Below are 20,869 nucleotides of genomic sequence, written 5' to 3' on the forward strand. Positions count from 1 at the left end.
TGGTGTGTGTTCGTCTTAAGGGTCAAATGTGGGTATATATATATCATGTCATCGCTCTTTTCTAATTTCTTCTGGAAAACAAGCTTTTTTACTTCTTCCTTCCCTTTCTGATAGAACATTTACATTTTTGGTTATAATTTTATTTTAGATTTTATTTTAATTAGACAACAGTTTTGCTCTTGTTGCCCAGCCTAGAGTACAAAGGCGTGATCTTGGTTCACTGCAGCCTCTGCCTCTCGGGTTCAAGTGATTCTCCTGCCTCAGCCTCCTGAGTAGCTGGGATTACAGGCGTCTGCCACCACGCCCGGCTAGTTTTTTGTAATTTTGTATTTTTAGTAGAGACGAGGTTTCACCATGTTGGCCAGACTGGTCTTGAACTCCTGACCTCAAGTGATCCACCCGCCTCGGCCTTCCAAAGTGCTGGGATTACAGGCATGAGCCACCACGCCAGGCCTAATTTTATTTTTTTAGTTGTAGTTTGTATTTAATGTTTCAAAGTATTATTCTGTTTTGGGGGCAGTACAATGAATTAGAGCTAATGCATTTAGAAAATATGAATTACAGGTAATTGAGGGATCAGATTATAAAACTAACCTTTGCTTTGGTTTCCTCTCCAGGGCCTGCTCTCTTTTTTGAGTGCCCCACTCATTGGTGCCCTGTCTGATGTGTGGGGGAGGAAGCCCTTTCTCCTCGGCACTGTATTCTTTACCTGCTTCCCAATCCCACTGATGAGGATCAGCCCATGGTGAGTGACTTGGCCCTTCACCTCCTGACTGCTTGTTTTGAGTCACATGTAAATTATACTTATATTTGCAGAGCACTTCTTAACTATTACAAAGCAGTTGTGCTTGTGTTTTCATTTGATCTCTCTGGTAATACTGAAAACCAGTTTGGACAGTTGTCATTATATCCATTTTATAAATGGGGTAGTGAAGACATTCTAGAATTAAGTCTGAGATAAGTTACTTAGGTGAAGAAGTAGAAATAAAAGATGCCTCTTCAGGCAGCTGATGTTGCCATGATGTCAGGTATGGGAGTTTAACCCTGAGAATGGGCTAACAATCCTGTCTTCATTACTGTGACTTTTAGTTGACTTTGTAAATATATTATTTTTGTCAGCTCATCGCTGTGGGGCACTGACACAAACATAGTTTATATCATAATAGGCGGGAGTCACTTTAAAATATACCATAATAAGGCTGATAGCCTATTTTAAATAATAATGTGAATTTGAGTTCGTTTTTTTTTTTTTTTTGGAGACGGAGTCTTGCCCTGTTGACTAGGCTGGAGTGCAGTGGCACGATCTTGGCTTACTGCAACCTCCGCCTCCCAGGTTCAAGCAATTCTCCTGCCTCAGCCTCCTGAGTAGCTGGGACTACAGACGCCCGGCTAATTTTTGTATTTTTAGTAGGGATGGGGTCTCACCATATTGGTGAGGCTTCCCTTGAACTGACTCCTGGTTATCCACCTGCCTCGGCCTCCCAAAGTGCTGGGATTACAGGCGTGAGCCACAGTGCGCAGCCCAATTTTTTTTTTTTTTTCTTTGTATAAATCGGGAGAGTATTTAGCATGTGACCAAAGCCCATTTAGTTACCAAAGGTGGGTTGGAATTTGCATGTGAGCCGTAACTTAGTTGTTTTTTTTGGATAACAGAAGATGGTATTTTGGTATGTATTCCTATTGCAGAGATGCTCTTTCTTATGTGAAGAACACACTTACATATGGAAGTTTTGTTTTGGTTTTTAATCCTATTAATAGATTTTTTTTTTTTTTTAGCTCGTGTGAAAATATTTTCATTTGATTATTTGGTAGGAATTTTATGCTAACACCTATCACATTCTAAATTTATTGGGTACTTATAATCATTTTATTTTCTACGAGTTGAAGAATTTTTTGGTATTGAGTCTTTATGTCCAAGATGTCATGCTTTTCCAATGAGTTGGGACTTTTTAATGTCCTTTTTTTGGCTTAATATTTTTTCTTTAGATCTTATACATTTCTTAAGTTTTGTTCCTATAAATTTTATCCTTTTTGTTCTGCTACAACATGAGCTCTTCTAATTGCTTGGTTTTCTAGGTATATTAATGTCATCTGTAAATAATTTTTTCTTTTTCCTTCCAGTTTTCATACTGCTCACTGCTTTTGCTAATTGCTTTGACTAATGAATATTAGTAAATCAAAGTGAAGATTTTGGGCTTATTTTCTTCATATATATAAAGGGAGTATTGTAATGTTTCATCATTAGGTGTTAAGCTGGTTTTTAGACTGAAAAATATTCCTATTGTATCCACAGATTTTTAAAAAACATTAAGAGTACATGTCAGATTTTATTTGATGACTTTATAGCATTAATGGATATTATTTGCCTTTTCTCTTATTTTTTTTTTTGAGACGGAGTCTCTCTCTGTCGCCCAGGCTGGAGTGCAGTGGCGCGATCTTGGCTCACTGCAAGCTCCGCCTCCCGGGTTCACACCATTCTCCTGCCTCAGCCTCCTGAGTAGCTGGGACTACAGGCGCCCACCACCACGCCCGGCTAAGTTTTTGCATTTTTAGTAGAGACAGGGTTTCACCATGTTAGCCAGGATGGTCTCAATCTCCTGACCTCGTGATCCGCCCACCTTTTCTCTTTAGAGCTACTAAAATGAATAATTATATTAATAGATTTTTAAATATTAAAATATTTTTCTATCCTGGAGTAAACCCCACTTTTTGTTCTATAAGGTTTTTCTTTGTTAATTTTAAACTGGGTTTTTAAAAAAAGCATCTATCACATGATATAAATTTTTAGTCTTAAGTACACTAATATTTTTCATTATGACTTCTGCTTTTATGTAGATCTTTTCAAATCATTTGTTGTATGTCTTTTCCTTACTTACAGCTAGGATATTTGAGAAGTTTTTTTTCTGTCTGTTGGCTACCTTTAAAAATATAACTTTTACCTAATCCCCTTATTCTTTGTTTTTCCTCTTCTTTTGTTTTTTTAGGGGGCATGTACTGACCCCCTTTGAACAATGATGAAATTAGAATGTTTCTACTTCTTCCTGTCTTAACTTAAATTTTTTTTGATATATTTAAGTATACATACATATACAAGTATACTTATTTCTTGGTGCGTAATCTTTACATGATGTCTTTGGCTCAGGTAATGAAAGTGAACATACACTCCCTTTCCCTTGGGTCATTAAAATAATCTTTTTATAGGTGGTATTTTGCGATGATTTCTGTGTCTGGAGTCTTCTCGGTCACGTTTTCTGTTATATTTGCCTATGTAGCTGATGTCACTCAGGAGCACGAGCGAAGTACAGCTTATGGATGGGTAAGATAATAGACTATATATATTTTTTAACCAGAATAGTAATTAACATTGTATTAGAAATTTACTGGAAAGTGAGTTTATTAGTCCTTTCTTGCACTGCTGTAAAGAAATATCTGAGACTGGGTAATTTATAAAGAAAAGAGGTTTAATTGTCTCACAGTTCTGCAGGCTATAAAGGAGGCATAGAGGCTTCTGCTTCTGGGGAGGCCTCAGGGAGCTTTTACTCATGATGATGGAAGGCAGAGCCAGAGCAGGCATCTTCACATGACTGGAGCAGGAGGAAGAGAGAGTGAAGGGGGAGGTGCTACACACTTTTAAACGGCCAGATCTCACAAGAACTCACTTACTATTAACAACCAAGGAAGGTGGTGCTAAGCCATTCATGAGAAACTACCCCCATGATCCAATCACCTCCCACCAGGCCCCACCTTCAACATTGGGGATTACAATTGAACATTTGAATTTTTTAAAAAATTAGTTTGATTTGTTTCTTGTTATCTGATCCCCGGAGGAGCGTTAAGCAGTCAAGTTGCACAAGCTCTTTGTGCACCTAATTTGGAGAGGTGCTGAACCTCAGCAATGTTAATCCATTGTTAACTCTATTAGTGGTTGTGTGTTTTGGACATACATTTGGAACATGGTATGTAGAAAAGGACTACATTCACTCATTCATCAAATCCATAGTTGCTGAATAACAAAAGTTATAGGAGACCTTTTTTTCTGATAATTAAAACCTGACAGTGTTTCTGATTTTCTCAGGCATGATAATGGCATTATGATTATGTAGAAGAAAGACTTGTTAGAAGATAGCTGAAGCGTTTTACATCAGTGTCAGGACTCTGCCAGTTACTTTCAGATGTTTCAGGGGAAAAGATAGCATAGCATGTGGATGTGCATGTGTGGGCATGTGTGTTCCATGCCTGAACCTGTGAGACATGGAAGTATGCTTGGTACCCTTCTCCCGTCTTCCTCTGTATTTGAAAATATTCAGAATAAGAAAGTGGAAGAAGAAAGATGATCTGGCTAGGTTGTGGGGAATAGGTTGGAGGGAGATTGAATGCCAGAAACTTAGGTTATTTATCTCCTTTTCCTGGGTCTTTTAAATCTACTTCCTGGAGTAGAGTAAGTTCTCATTCATTGCTGACTGAATGAATAACTTCCTGAATCAATGATGGGCATATAAATGGGTTACTACTATTCCACAAAACACAACAATTTTTAACTTGTTGACTTTAGACATCAGTAGTTTGAAAACTACTCTTTCAACCCCACTTCCCTCTGACTCTTCTACCTTCCCTCTCTCTCTCTCCTTGCTTCTTCCCTCCACTCCTGAATGTCCCTCTCATGTCATGCCCTAAAAAGGGGCATCTTCAGAGTCGTGATGGAGGAGGACAAAGATAGAAGCTGATAGGAAAGCTTCGAAGAAGACAAGATTTGGAGCTCACTCAGGAACACCAAAAACAAAAATAGGCCGGGTGCGGTGGCTCACGCCTGTAATCTCAGCACTTTGAGAGGCTGAGGTGGGGGCGGATCATGAGGTCAAGAAATCGAGACCATCCTGGCCAACATGGTGAAACCCCGTCTCTACTAAAATACAAAAATTAGCCGAGCGTGGTGGTGTGCGCTTGTAATCTCAGCTACCTGGGAGGCTGAGGCAGGAGAATTGCTTGAACCCAGGAGGCAGAGGTTGCAGTGAGCCAAGATCGCGCCACTACACTCCAGGCTGGCGACGGTCAGACCCGCCTCAAAAAAAAAAATGTCCCCCAAAACTCCAAAAATTAACAACCTCCCCCCGCCCTGCCAAAAAAAAGAAAAGAAAAAACAAAAACAAGAAGGTAGGTTGTTCAAGTTGTGCCCATAAGGCTTGGCCAACAGAGTAGTGAGGGACAGCTTTCTTCTACAGCATGGGAAATACCTGTTGAGATACTCATTTTTCTGCAATATTTGATTTTTGTTTCTCGCTTTCAGCTGGGAAACCCTTCACACAGCTGTTGTGCTGAGCAGTAGTGCTTTCAGGAAAGATTTAAGAGAGTTCTAACCAGAAGCGCCTGTGACTTAATTACCCTCTCCAGCTCAGCTCCTCATTGTATAATGGCAGTTAGGGTTAATATCTACTCACAGGGGCATTGAGAGCAATCAGTGAGCGCACACATCCAGACTGAGACGGCACTTAGCTGAAGTGTGCTCCCAGCCAGCAGAAGCAACTCAGCATGCAAGGCTGCCTGGATTGCAGTCTACCTATCTTCTAGATATAGGAGAATTTATTGCCAATTAATTACAGAACGTGTCAGTCAAGTTCTAAGGAGCATTTTGAGACCCATTAAAGAACAGTATAAAAATGTGTACACCTTCCTTACTCAGACTTCTTCAGTAAACCAAGAAAGTGGTAATTCTTTCAGGGCTACGGCAATGATTAGTCATGTTAATAAGTGAGTTAACACTTACTAAGAGTTTGTTGTGGGGAAGTCATTCTTTAGATTTATTCATCAGAGTTGTATTGAATGTTAAGTGAAAGAGGAGTTTAGATAAAAACACAGACTAAGCAAGTAGGCTACTTTAGGCTTTAAGATAGACACATTTTGCATAGAGTTTCATGAGGCCATAGACCCTTTAACACCTGAAGATGCTGCAGCAGTGCCCCCTTAACACCTGAGAAGAGTGTAGGAATGTTCCCATAACTGTTTGCTTGTCGTTGCAGTTTATAATGCAGTTATTTGGTTGCCCTGATATTCTTGAATAAAGTGGGAAAACCTGAGGGCAAGAGCTTTGTCTTCTTCATCTGGTACATAGTAGATTCTCAGTAAATATTGAACAAAGGATTCCTATTCCCCACATTGGAATTTTCCACATTCTTTTTTCCCCTCCAAAAATACTTGAGTTTTAGCTTTTATAGTACTTTTAGTATAATACTAATTTCAGATATACTGTGTTTTTTAATTCAGTTGGGAGATGATGGATGAAAAAGAATTTTTTATTGCCAGAAATTTTGGGATTTTTAATAAAATCCATTAGAAGTTTAAAAAGCTAACTTATAGATATGCATTTGACATTTAGTGTGGTTATAATTTGGAGTTTGCCCGATAAGCATCTGACCATCCAGATTGTGTTCTAAAATAAAGTGGACATTCCACATGCTTATAGGAGTGCACTGTGAAGGGGCTCAAGGTGGCTTCAGGTTGTGGGTGTGCTTAGCTGGCTCTGTGGTCTCTATACTGGATAGGGTCAGGTGGTGACAGAGAGACAGAAATCTACAGCTGTCTAGTCAAAAAGCTTCAACTTCCACCTCAACAAATTCTTTGTTGTTGTTAATAGTTTTTTTCTAAGAATAGCAGAGGGTTCCCCCTGACCCCAGGCAGTGCTAATGAAATGACCACCAAATGATAAAATGTTCAAACAGTGCAGTGTTTTTAGAAGATTAAATCAAGCACAGTACTTGAGTAGTTTGTAAGTTTTATCATCAGCCCTGCAGGAATTCTTTTCATACCATCTCACATCCCCGGTCCCCAGTTAAAGAAGACCAAAGAGCTAATGTTTTATTTGTGGGGAAGGTTTTTACAATTTTTGTTTGTAATAAGATAATCCTTTTTTACTCTTGTAGCTCTGCAGGGTATCTCCAGTTAATAGTTTATGAACACATTCTTAAATCACTTTAATTCTCTTTCATTCTTAAAATTTATATGCAACACATTTCTTTTGTCTTACTTAAAGCCAGGGAAGCATGGCTGCAGGTATGCACCTGTGGGACCCTGGTTGAGTGTGCTTTCCTGAAGGTGTGCACCTGCAGCAGGCAGACCTGGGTAAGGATATGCTTTCCCCAGAGGTGTTCACCTATGGGACCCTGGGTGAGAGTGTGCTTTCCCACAGGTCTCAGCCACCTTTGCGGCTAGTCTTGTCAGCAGCCCGGCCATTGGAGCATATCTTTCTGCCAGTTACGGAGACAGCCTCGTTGTGCTGGTGGCCACAGTGGTGGCTCTTCTGGACATCTGCTTCATCTTAGTGGCTGTTCCAGAATCTCTGCCTGAGAAAATGAGACCGGTTTCCTGGGGAGCTCAGATTTCTTGGAAACAAGCAGACCCTTTTGCGGTAAATAAAAATATGGAAATATTTACTTTCCTAAATGTCTTTCTAAGCCAAGCAAATGAAAGTATGTATGTGCAGCCTCAAGGATCCTAGCAGTTGTTGACTTATTTCTTTAGTAAAAATAGAAAAAATTAATTGCAAGTAAGGGATTGAGTTAGTCTTTGTATTAAGAAATATATAGAATTGGTACTTAAGCATGTCATAAACGAAGAGAGAGAAAATGTCTAGTTAATTCTTGGTGAGAGTTTGGGAAGAGAGTTTCTTTTTGCATGGTTGTTTTCATCCTTTTTAAACAAAATAAGTGAAAGTGGTCATTTGAAGTGGTCATTTTCACTCATTTTAACTCAAAAAGGATAAATGCCTTTGGTTTGAATGAGTTATTTTAATTTTGACCAGAGACGTTTAATTTGTTTGTTACAGATTGAGTATTGTTTTCTATAATATGTCTCTCTCTCCCTCTCTACCTCCCTCCCTTTCCTCTCCTTTTCCACCCCCTTCTTTTTTGGCATGGGAAGGTGGTGTGTCACTGGAAAACATATCTTATCTCTCACCTTCTCTCTACCCTACCTGGTTTGAAATTGTTCTTGGGGAAAAAAAAAGTTTGTAGACAAAAAAAGAACCAGCAGTTTGGTTTCTGCTTTTCGTCCCCCAAGTTTACCTTTCAGAAAAATTCATGTAATCAATCAGAAATTACTTTTTCTAAAATACCCCCTGAGGGCATGACCTAGGGATCCTGCCTGTTCTATTATTGTCACAATGTCAGACACCAAAAGAAATATTTAGAGAAGGAAGCCAGTAGTGGGGTTGGGAGCCAGCCAGTTAGGCTTCCCACCTTCCTTTGTAGTGATCAAGTTATGCATCAAAGCTCCTCTGTGAAGTAGAGCTACTGTGGCTTACTTTTCCGGGCAATCGTGGGGATTACTGTTAATGTGTGTAAATTAACTAGCCTAGTGTCTGTTGCCCAGCAAAGTCTCAACAACATTAGCTGCTTTTGCTTATTAATTACATAAAAGCTATGGTCTGATGAGCTAGAAGCTCTGTAGCACTTTCCACTCCTTTGGTATTAACTTACCATTTTGTTCTATTCAACAATCCAATGTATGTAAGAAGGATTTTTCAACAAGGTTGTAACATTCAACAAGTTCTTACCAGTTTGACCTTATGGCTGGAGCGTACTTATTTGTCTACCAGATATAAAAGTTGAACATGAACACTTTGAAGAATAGAGTGAATTTACCTATACGGAAACGCTCTGTACTGAATATGGCTTTAAAGAAGTTACATTATGAATTGAGAGAAGTGATTTTCTTAAAAGGTTCTGTAGGAATATATTTCCAGGTTCTGTTTATAGGAAGTTCGGGATCTGTTCAGGGATTTTAATCAGTGTGTTAACAAAGATGAGTAAGTGTGTTTTGTGGGTTTATTTTTTTGCTTTTTTTTTTAGCTATATGATTTGAAATATATACCTCTGAAATTAAGACTTGTAACTTCCTCAGAAAGATGGTGATAGAACTTCCTTTTATTAACCATTTGACTTTTGTTATTCATCTTAATAGATCAAAATAATGAAGCTGATGTCCCAGAACATTGGCAACATTAATGTGTATTGGCATTTTAAGTGTGTTCTTTCTGCTTATTCTCAGTCGTTGAAGAAAGTTGGAAAAGATTCTACTGTCTTACTAATCTGCATCACCGTGTTTCTTTCATACCTTCCTGAAGCTGGACAGTATTCAAGTTTTTTTCTCTATCTCAGGCAGGTGAGTAGTGAGTGGCTAGTAGCCTTTCAATACCAGGAAAATCAAAGATGGAGATTTGTCTAAAGATATTTTGAGGAAACCACTGCAGAGGAAAAAACATGTGAACTTGCTTCTAGTTACAAATGTAGGTGCTGGCATATAATTAGTAAACAGGGCACCTTTAATGCAATGATTTATAGTAAGATAATTACTGTGGAAATTTTTTTTTCTTGAGAATTAACCAGAATTAGCAGAAACATAATTTATCTTTTTTTTTTTTTGAGACGGAGTTTTGCTCTTGTCCACCAGGCTGGAGTGCAATGGCACGATCTTGGCTCACTGCAACCTCTACCTTCTGAGTTCAAGCGATTCTCCTGTCTCAGCCTCCCGAGTAGCTGGGATTACAGGCGTGCACTACCATGCCCAGCCAATTTTTGTATTTTTAGTAGAGACAGGGTTTCACCGTGTTGGCCAGGTTGGTCTCGAACTCCTGACCTCAAGTGATCCACCCGCCTCGGTCTCCCAAAATGCTGGGATTACAGGCGTGAGCCACTGTGCCCAGCCTGTTTTTTTTTTTTTTTTTTTTAAATAGACTATTTTTCTAGAACAGTTTTAGGTTCACAGCAAAATTGAGAGTAAGATATAGAGATTTCCCATATATCCCCTATCCCCATACATGCATAGCCTCCTCCACTATCAACATCTCCCACGAGGGTGGGAAATTTTTACAACTGATGAACCTACATTGACAAATTATCTTAACATAAAGTCCACAGTTTACATTAGGGTTCATGCTTAGTGTTGTACATTCTATGGGTTTGGACAAACGTATGATGACATGATAACATGTATCAACCCTTACAGTATCACACAGTGAATTTTCACTGCAAAAATCCCTTATGCTATGCCTGTTTATCTCTCCCTCCACCACCAACCCCTGGCAACCACTGATCTCTTTATTGTCTCCATAGTTTTACCTTTTTTCATACAGTATGTAGCCTTTTCAGATTGGTTTCTTTCAATTAATAATATGCATTTAAGGTTCTTTCATGGCTTGATAGCTCATTTTGTTTTTGGCATTTGTTTGGATTTGCCAGTTTATCCATTCACCCACTGAACGACACCTTACTTGCTTTAAAGTTTTGACAGTTGTGCATAAAGCTGCTGTAACATTCATGTACTGTAATGTTTTAATCTTTAATAATATTAATTAAATTTAACAGATAAAACTTATTTCAGACCTGCCCTTGTTCCAGGTCTGATTGAAGCCAGCTTGCTGAGGCACCTTCAGTAGGTCATAGCTCAACTGCTGCTGTGGACTTCAGGGGGACTCAAAAGCATTAATCAAAATCTTCCCTCTCTAGAGTATTTTACACTTTAAAAAAATTTATACCCTATTTTGTCCCCCAAAACAGATAATTGACTTAAAGCAATTAAAAAAAAGAAAACCAAAAACTTCCCCTTTCAACTGTTCTTCAGCTCTCTGGGATTGCTCAGACCTAAGCTGCCTTTCCATTGCATCCTGTGGTCTTTTACTGATTTCATTGGAAGGCAGGCCTTTTCCTAATGGTTTACTTTGACACAGCAAGCTTCCTCCTAAGATAAATTCCTCTTTTTCTGGTTGTATTTAAAAATGAAGTGTATTAAATTCTTCATTCTGATAGTTTTCCTGAGGGTATGGGACTAATATTTTACGTGGTGGCATATAAATAAAACCTTTTTACTTTTTTATTGGAGACAAGAGTCTTGCTCTGTTGCCCAGGCTGGAGTGCAATGGCGTGATCTTGGCTCGCTGCAGCCTCTGTCTCCTGGGTTCAAGAAATCCTTGTGCCTCAGCCTGCCAAGCAGCTGGGATTATCGGTATGCACCACCACACCCAGCTAAGTTTTGTATTTTTAGTAGAGACAGGGTTTTACCATGTTGGTCAGGCTGGTCTTGAACTCCTGGTCTCAAGTGATCTGCCTGTTTCAGCCTCCCAAAATGCTGGGATTATAGGCATGAGCCACTACACCCGATCTTTCCCAGGCATTTCTCTTTTGTTCATTTTTGGTGGTTGTATGCTAGAGATTTAGAGGGAAGAATGGTGAGATAGTGTAGAAAATTATACTTGTGTCTAAATTAATTTGTGCATTACATTACATATGCATTTAACACAGAAAATAATGTAGGAAGATGAGACAGTCCAAGGAAGAAAGCTAAAAAAAAAGTTACATCTCTTTATGTAGGTAATAAACAACTATGACTATTTTATTCTTCTAGCTTTTCTCCTACACATATGCTCATGTCACCACCACCACCAATTATGACAAATCGGAATCATTCCATATTATTTTATATTATTGCTGGCTGCTAAGAACAATTAACACACTAACATTTTAGTTAAATTTGCATGTGATATTTGAAGATCATATATTTGATAAATAACTTGTATCCAGAATACATGTAGAACTCTTATAATAAAAGACTTAATAGCATCTTACAATAACTCAACAATAAAGAGACAACTCAGTTGAAAAGATAGGCAAAGGATTTTGCAGAGAAGATCTACAAAAGGCCAATAAGCACAGGAAAAGAAGAATAACATTACTAGCCGTCAAGGACATGCAAGTCACACCAACAATGAGATAACCATTTCACATGTTCTAGGATGGCTATCAAAAAGACAGACAAGGATGTGGAGAAATCGGAGCCCTCATACTTGCTGGTGAGAATGTAAAATGGTACAGCTGCTGTAAGAAAACAGCCTGGCAGTTCCCCAAAATATTCAACATATAGTTACCATATGACTCAGCAAATATACTCCTAGGTATATATACCCATGAGACATGAAAACACACTTCTAACACAGAAACTTGTACACAGATTATCATTCATAATGTCTAGAAAGTAGAATCAACTCAAATGTCTATCAGCTAATGAATGGATTAACAAATATGCCTATACATTAGAATGTTAATTATTCAGCAGTAAAAAGCAATGAAGTACAGATACGTGCTACAACATAGGTGAACCTTGACGACATGCTCAGAGAAAGAAGCCAGTCACAAAGTACTGCACATTGTATGATTTCATTTATGTGAAATGCCCAGAATAGGCAAATCCATAGGGACAGGAAGTAGACTAACGGTTGGGGGATGGGAAGGTTAGGGGAGTAGAACTCCTAATGGCTGCTACGTTTCTTTGAGGAATGATGAAAATCACTTTTGATTGTGCTGATGGTTGCACAACTCTTTGGATATACTAAAACCATTGACCTACACACTTAAATGGGTGAATTGTATGGTATTTAAATTCTATCTTAATAAAGCTCTTTAACAATAATATATATTTACAAATAAAGGCTGAGAATCCCTAAATCTACATTTTCCGGTTCCAGTTTTTAAAACTTCAAACAAAATGTTAATGTCAGCAGCACTGGATTGGCTGTCCAGAGGTTCTAGCCCTAGGACTTTTCATTAGCCAGTTGTGTCCCTGGAAGCAAGACACTCATTTGTGAAATGAGAATAATGTATATAATTTAATCCCATAATTTTTAAGGTCCTTTTCCTGAATTTTAATATAGGGCAAAATAATGTAACTTTTTTTTTTTTTTGAGATGGAGTCTCACTTTGTCGCCCAGGCTGGAATACAGTGGCACAATCTTGGCTCACTGCAACCTCTACATTCCAGGTTCAAGCTAGTCTCCTGCCTCAGCCTCCTGAGTAGCTGGGATTACAGGCACACGCCACCACGTCCAGCTAATTTTTTGTATTTTTAGTAGAGACGGGGTGTCGCCATGTTGGTCAGGCTGGTCTCGAACTGCTGACCTGATGATCCGCCTGCCTTGGCCTCCCAAAGTGCTGGGATTACAGGCGTGAGCCACTGCACCTAGCCCCAAAATAACGTAACTTTTAAAAAACTTGATATTTAAGTCTTAAAAGTTGTAGACATTTCGGAGATACTGTTACGGTCAGAGGCTTAGAAATCATTGCCAGGTTACTTTGGCTGCTTATTAGAATCACCATGGGAGCTTTTAAAACATACCTGTGCCCGGGTCATACCGCCAGAGAGCCTGATTTAACTGGTCTCCAGTGGTCTTCCAGCATCTCACTGCTCTCCTTCCCTTGCTCTCCTTATCCCTTGTCTTTTGCTTACATCATGATTTTAATGTGCAGGCAAAGTTGAGAGCCACTGGCTTTGCTAATGAGCAATGCTGTATTGGCAGCATCAAAAGTCAGTCATTTTGTTTCATTTTTTATTACTTGATACCATATTTATCAACTTGTGGGTTGGGGATGGAGAGGGTATATAAAACAACAGGTAGACATATAATAGAAAATGTCTATAAAACATTTCACAATTTAAGTTGTGCCTGCTTATAACGATTTCTTACATCAGTTTTAGATATAAATTACTGGTTATATAGGTTCAGCTTTCAGCATGTCTTAATTTGCCACTGGTTTTATGAATTTTCCTAGACTTATCATTGTAATAGAACATAATATTTCTTATTATTTTATAATATCTATATTACTAAAGTGTTTTCATTTCATTTCCATAGGTCATAGGTTTTGGATCTGTTAAAATTGCAGCATTCATAGCTATGGTAGGAATTCTGTCTATTGTGGCTCAGGTGAGTATCATTTTATCTATACTTAAAAAATTTAAAAAATATCCTGATAACCATAGTTTCACAGGAAGCCACATATAAAAATGCAGGAAGATATTCCCTGAGCTGCTACCTCAGTCCCTCACCCCCTGCTATGGTAAGGTCTTGCAAGCTATAGTATAATATCAGATCAAGAAACTGATGTGAATGTGGTCCACAGAACTATTCCTTCTTATATAATGTGTAGAGGTTATTTTCTTTTTTGAGGTTGTAATTTAGGGGAAATTTTTTATGTTTTTATTTAAAACAATGTTTTTAAAATTATATCCTTGACCAGGCAGCCCAGCCTGGTGACTGGCATCCACTCTTGTCTTCAGCCTTGCCTCCTCAGCTCAGGGGCCCTGGCCCCGATGCCACTGCCTAAGTCTCCTCGGAAGCCACAGTGGTTCCCCATCCCAGGCCCCTGGGGGCCTCTGGTGCTCCCCTTGCACCAGCATCATCTGCCATTTAGTGTTTTCTCAGAAAAGATGATTTAGGAGAACTTTGATACAACTTTCCCTACTTTTTAGAATATTTGTCGTAACCTCTGCTGGGTCAATTATTTTATTTGCTTTTACACCAACCAAAATAGTAAATAATTATAATCTATCTCTGGATTGCAAAATCAACTAGGAAAATGGTTCAGTGTTATTTTAATGTTGAAAAGTAAGTAGAAATGAAAAGCAGAAATGAAAATCTGTAACTGCTTTAACTCCGACTGTTCCCAGGACTGAAGAAATATGAATCAGAGCATTAAAACATATTCAGTGAGGGCCAGACACGGTGGCTCACACCTGTAATCCCAGCACTTTGGGAGGCCAAGGCAGGTGGATCACCTGAGGTCAGGCGTTCCAGACCAGCTTGGCCAATATGGCGAAACCCTGTCTCTACTAAAAATACAAAAATCAGCTGGGTGTGGTGGCATGTGCTTGTAATTCCAGCTACTCAGGAGGCTGAGGCAGGAGAATCGCTTGAACCTGGGAAGTGGAGGTTGCTGGGAGCCGAGATTGCGCCACTGCACTCCAGCCTAGGTGACAGAGTGAGACTCCATCTCAAAAAAGAGAGAGGGAGAATATATATATATATATATTTTCATATATATATTCATATATATTCATATATATTCATATATATTCATATATTCATATATATTCATATATTCATATATATTCATATATATATAATAGATATTATATATAAATATCTATTATATATAGGTATTGATAAATGATTTTCAGTGAGTAGAGAGCATTAACCATTTCCCTATCTATTGTAAATACAGTACCAGAAAAGATGAAGCATATTGTCCTTAAATTAATTCACTGTTGTGCCAAGGCACACTCACTATATTTTATGGTACTGCCTAGGGGTTGTTTTCCCTGAAATGGTTACCAGGAAAGCAGAGCATTCTTCTGTGGTAACCTCTCTCAAGGAGAAATGAGAAGGCCGCAAAACTACTACATTTGACAAGGCTTATGGGAATGCATCAAAACAAAGGCCGTTTATATTTTTGTTTTTGTTGAAATGTGTTGCAAATGTAAATTATGTTAACCTTTCAAGTTGATCATTTTGGTTTTTTACAAAATCAAACATAAACTCAGCCATCTTTTTTTTTTTTTTTTTTTGACACGGAGTCTCGCTCTGTCACCCAGGCTGGAGTGCAGTGGTATGATTTCGGCTCACTGCAACCTCTGCCTCTCGGGTTCAAGTGATTCTACTGCCTCAGCCTCCCAAATAGCTGGGACTACAAGTGTGCACCACTATGCCTGGCTAATTTTTGTATTTTTAGTAGCGACAGGGTTTCACCCTGCTGGCCAGGCTGGTCTCGAACTCCTGACCTTGTGATCTGCTTGCCTCGGCCTCCCAAAGTGCTGGGATTACAGGCATGAGCCACCACACCCGGCCAGCCCAGTCATCTTTCATCCAACCCCTTTTTAGACTTTCTCAACTAGTTATATTTAGCAGAGTATATATTTGTTAAAATCAAACTTACATCCCAATTCCAACTTTGTAAACTTCCAGCAGAAGCTCTCATATTCTGTAAATGTTCAGCAGGAGTTTGCTATTCACAGATATTTAAGTGATTAGTATTTCTCCAGAGACTGAGGCTGTCCCTCTCAGTCATGGTAACTGGTGAACAGTTGTGATATCCTTTCAGGAAGTGCCAGCAGAGCACCAGGTAGACAGGCTTCTTAGGGAGGAGGCTGAAAGCATTGAGCCCCAGGTCAGGCTGGGAGCCCCCAACACTCCACCCCTGTAGAAGGTCATCAGTACTGTCCAGACTCTGAGGTTGCAGGTCAGGCAGTGTGCCCTTAGAGGTCTCTGGTCATCAGGGAAGGGTCTTCACACACAGAGCTTGTATTTTAATTCTGTGTGTTGATGTGGTTTTTCAGAGTTGTCTCCTTTACTTTGCAGACGGCCTTTCTTAGCATCTTGATGAGATCATTAGGAAATAAGAATACTGTCCTCCTTGGCTTGGGCTTCCAGATGCTCCAGTTAGCCTGGTACGGTTTTGGATCACAGGCCTGGTAAGCCTCACTCTTAGATTCTCGTGAACTGCCAGACAGATGCCTCTTAGAGGAGCTTGGGGTGGTTGGGTGTGATGAGAAGGAAGCAAGGGTTATTTTGCTGGTTTGGTGTATTCAACATTGCAGAAACCATTAGGCTTTAATTTGGGGAAATGTGGAGCTAGATAACAGGATTATTTATAAAGACTACCTTTATGTCATTGGACTTTCACGGAATTGTTCCTTAATTGAATGTATCTCTCTCTTCCCTCCAGCCCCCAAATAAAGTTTTATGTCTACTTTTTAAAGCATATGCCAATTTTTTTTTCTTTCCCTGAGACGGAGTCTCACTCTGTTGCCCAGGCTGGAGTACAGTGGCATGATCTCAGCTCACTGCAACCTCTACCACCCGGATTCAAGCAGTTCTCCTGCCTCAGGCTCCTGAGTAGCTAGGATTACAGGCATTCACCACACGCCCGGCTAATTTTTGTATTTTTAGTAGAGATGGGTTTCACCATGTTGGCCAGGCTGGTCTCAAACTCCTGACCTTGTGATCTGCCTGCCTCGGCCTCCCAAAGTGCTGGGATTACAGGCGTGAGCCACCGCACCTGGCCACATATGCTAATTTTTAGAGACATTGAATATAGTCAAAAGCAAAACAAGAAGATACAAAAAAAATGACTGATTATGGCAAGCTTCACTATGACTTATCATTACCTATCAGTAACATAACCTTGATAAATCATTTGAGTTTGAACACTAAAATTTCTTCCAAAACCATGTGCATTCTGCCGCAGTTATTACTACCATATTAGATTCCCCCATAAACAGGAAGGAAGGTCCAAATAAGCTCAGTGGAATAAGAAAAATTAGAAGGAATCGTGAGTTTTGTTTTGTTAATGTGGCAGGTTTCTCCATGTGCCTGGTGGGCAGATGCAGAAATGCCTTCTCCATTTTAGACGGTAGAGCTGGTCCTTACTTTGGACACAAACAGACAACATAATTTAGAGAAACTAGAATTGCCTTAGTTATCATGTTTAGTTTGGGGAGTAAGTACATATGCCCCTTCTGAATTTTGGAATTTCATTTGATCCGCTTGCTCTTTCCTTTTTTTTTTTTTTTTTTTTTTTTTGAGAGAGAGAGGGTCTGGCTGTGTTGCCTAGGCCAGAGTACAGTGGCACAATCATGGCTTACTATTACAGCCTTGCTGCCAGCCTCAAGCGATCCTCCCATCTCAGCTTCCTGAGTAGCTGGGAGTATGTACACGCACCACCACGCCTGGCTAATATTTTGATTTTTTTTTTACACCATGCCTGGCTAATATTCTGATTTTTTTTTTTTTTTTTTTTGTAAAGACAAGGTCTCATGTTGCCCATGCTGGTCTTGAACTCCTGGGCCCAAGCAATCCTCCTGCCTTGGCCTCCCAAAGTGCTAGGATTACAGTCATGAGCCACTGTCCCTAGCCGTCTGTGACTTTTTACCAGATTAACTTGCTTGATTCTCCTTGTTCTTTTTGATTTTGCTCCTGTGAACTTTGGTTCAGTAGCTGATTTAGTCACATTCATGTAGTGTTAAAAAGACTTTGTCATCATGTGAGGTTTTTCTTTTTCAGTAATGACCATCCCAAAGTTGGGGCCTCACTTTACTCACTCACACTTCATACTGATACATAGTTAAGACTCTTATTGAGAGGAGGACAAAGGTCTAAAGAGGAAGGCAGGTCTGTTTTTCCAGTTGGGGGCACACCATGCTCTCTCTGTTGAGGGGTAGCAAGCTGTAGCTCGAGGGCAGTGTGAAAGTGAGCCTTCAAGAGGTACAAAGAAAAAATGAAAGGTCAGTGGAGAAAATGTGGTATTTATAGCAACAAAAGAAATCTCCTTGCGAACTTCATTGAGCTTATGTCTAAAGATAGCAGTAGGGAGACCAGGGAGAAGAAAAGTTTGTAAAAGAAGTAAAATCAAGACACAAAGGTTTCCTGGCCCTTCTGTCCCCATCCTAGGCCATTCGTTTCCTCCAGTGTCACATGTAACCTTGTAGGTTAAAAAAAAAATGCATTTTTAAAGAGGAAAAAATAAATAAAATGTAACAGGAGAAAACAAGGCATTTGTACTTTTGCCACTGATTGCATTCCGAATAGTGAGCTCCTTGAGGTTGACCTGCTGCCTGACTGTGCCTGTCCTGTCATTGCAGGATGATGTGGGCAGCAGGGACCGTGGCTGCCATGTCCAGCATCACGTTTCCGGCAATCAGTGCCCTCGTCTCTCGGAATGCAGAGTCAGATCAGCAAGGTGAGGTCACTGCCCCCCACTTGTTTTTCTCCTTCAACGGGAGACCTCCCTGCTAGAAGCAGGAGCAGCTCTGAGTTCTCCCCATCAACAGCAGGAGCCGACAGCCATATGGCCCCTTTTATCATACCTATTTACTTTGGCAGATAGGAACATTCTATTTTCCTCTCTGCTTTGATCTTACACTTATATTTTTTAAAGCTAGACTTAGCAGTTCAGATTGCTAACAATTAGAAATAGAACTATTCATTTTCCCTTTTCAGTTTTGATACATCTTTTCTTCTTTAGTGTCACAATTAAGCAGACTATAATCACATTTTAACAGATGTCTATTAAATAATGAAAAACCAGTTAACCACGAGTTACTTAATTACTTTATTCACTAATTATTTGGAATAACTCAAAGTCTTTGAGCTTAATTTAGAAAATAGTTTGAGAGTAGTAAGAAAAAGTCTGTGTGGTTGTTGATAGATGTTGAGTGAGAGATGAAATTAAAATTAAGACTGCTATGTGGAAAATAGCATTCTACCATCTAGATCCATATCCCATCCTTCCCATGCCTCTGCTTCCCTTCCTGTCCTGTCTTGTCCTCCCTCCATCCCTTCTTCCCTCTTTTCCCACCCTTCCTCCCCCCACCCCCCACCTCCTACCCCTTACAGGGTCTCACTGTCACCCAGGCTGGAGTGTAGTGGTACAATCTTGGCTCCCTGCAGCCTCCGTCTCCTGGGCTCAAGTGATCTCCCAGTCACCCTCCCAAGTACCAGGGACTAGAGACGCACACTACCATGCCCAGCTAATTTTTTGTATTTTTAGTGGAGATGGGGTTTCGCCATGTTGCCCAGCCTGGTCTCGAACTCCTGGGTTCAGTCTGCCTGCCTCGGCCTCTCAAAGTGCTGAGATTACAGGTGTGAGCCCCCATGCCTGGACTGCTTTCCTTTCAAGCAGTTCCCATGGCTAGATTTAATCTCTTTCCTTCTCTATCTCCTAATGGCTCACCTTATTGTATTCAGGAAGAAGTAGACAATTTTAGAGGGAGAAAAATTTTTTAATGCCTAAGAGCCCTTTTTTTTAAAAGTTTTAGTAAAAAACTATATTGGAAAGGATGGTTTATTCATTGCATTTTTTTTTTCTATATCAGAAGTTAGGTATCTTACTCAGATTCATTGTTAAATATTGTCCCTTGAAGACCACACATTCTGTATGTCACTCCTGGCTACAGTAACTCAGTTGGTTTGCATCCTTAGGGAGGTGCTGTGTCTGAAGTGAAGATGTGATGACCCATCCGTGGAGGACTGTCACTGCCTTGGCATCTGACAGACACCGTCCTGTCATTTGGGGCATGGATTTTCTTTTGACTTTTTATACTTATTCATGTCAATATACATGTTTCTGAATGTCAGCATATAAAAGTTTTGGAACACATTGTATTAGGCTGAATTATATACTACCATTTTTGATTTACAGAAACATTCATTTCATACAGTTCAAGCTAACTTTTTACTTGCTATGTTAGAAAGCAGAGATATTTAGGAATTTGGCACTTCTGGGTTTTTCAGTGTAGGTCTCTAGGGAGATAGGCTGGAATACACCTGTGAAGATGAAGTCTGCCTACTGGGGACTGGTCTGTATTCCTGACACCAGGGCTGCCAGAGGTGAAGGGCAAGTTTTTGTTGTGAAAGCACCAGTAAATGACCAGAGCAGGGAAATCTCAGTTGACAGAAAAGTGGACATTGCCTGAAATGGGAAGATATTAAAGTTTTGGATTGTATATGTTTTTATGATTTTATATGTTTTATATGGTTTTATTAGTTTTGGATTTTATTTTATAATGGATAAAGTCTTCCTAATCTACTTTCATTAGCATGCTTTCTCTTTTCCTCAGTCTTGCCGAATTAGTGTATCATGGTTATGAGAAAGTACTGTGCAGCTCCAAATCTTGAGATGCCTTTCTGAGAAGACTGGCATTATTTTCTTTGTTCTGATTTAGGAGTTGCCCAGGGGATCATAACTGGAATAAGAGGACTATGCAATGGCCTGGGGCCAGCACTGTATGGCTTCATATTCTACATGTTCCATGTGGAACTGACTGAGTTGGGCCCGAAATTGAATTCTAACAACGTTCCCCTGCAGGTAATTTGGTCATAAGTCTAGTTTTGTAACAACAATTATGTATGATTATAGCAAAATCTTGTGACCTTAAATTTGGAGAGCATTCTTTCTTGTATGTTACTATATTTTATTTGGCAGCAATAAGTATTGTGTTCATTGCTTCTCGGGATCAGGGAGGGGTCATTTTAGTGATTTAATATCTTATGTAA

General features: G+C 39.5%; 1 protein-coding gene across 5 annotated transcripts in view; it reads left to right on the forward strand.

Annotated features, from left to right (window-relative positions):
- SLC71A2 (solute carrier family 71 member 2) overlaps positions 1–20,869 on the forward strand; it is an 86,626-nt gene that overhangs the window by 63,367 nt on the left and 2,390 nt on the right. For 2 of the 5 annotated variants that reach the window (XM_017015218.2, NM_032558.3), the window contains exons 4-11: positions 618–745; positions 3,202–3,316; positions 7,181–7,399; positions 9,040–9,153; positions 13,673–13,744; positions 16,175–16,287; positions 18,457–18,554; positions 20,539–20,681. In XM_017015218.2, the coding sequence (XP_016870707.1) occupies positions 618–745; positions 3,202–3,316; positions 7,181–7,399; positions 9,040–9,153; positions 13,673–13,744; positions 16,175–16,287; positions 18,457–18,554; positions 20,539–20,681 (1,002 nt within the window). Of the gene's footprint in view, positions 1–617; positions 746–3,201; positions 3,317–7,180; positions 7,400–9,039; positions 9,154–13,672; positions 13,745–16,174; positions 16,288–18,456; positions 18,555–20,538; positions 20,682–20,869 lie in introns of those variants that run through there. The other 3 variants (XM_017015219.3, XM_047423972.1, XM_047423973.1) reach the window with 3 other exon arrangements.

This window comes from Homo sapiens, chromosome 9 (genome assembly GCF_000001405.40).
Source record: "Homo sapiens chromosome 9, GRCh38.p14 Primary Assembly".
NCBI lineage: Eukaryota > Metazoa > Chordata > Mammalia > Primates > Hominidae > Homo > Homo sapiens.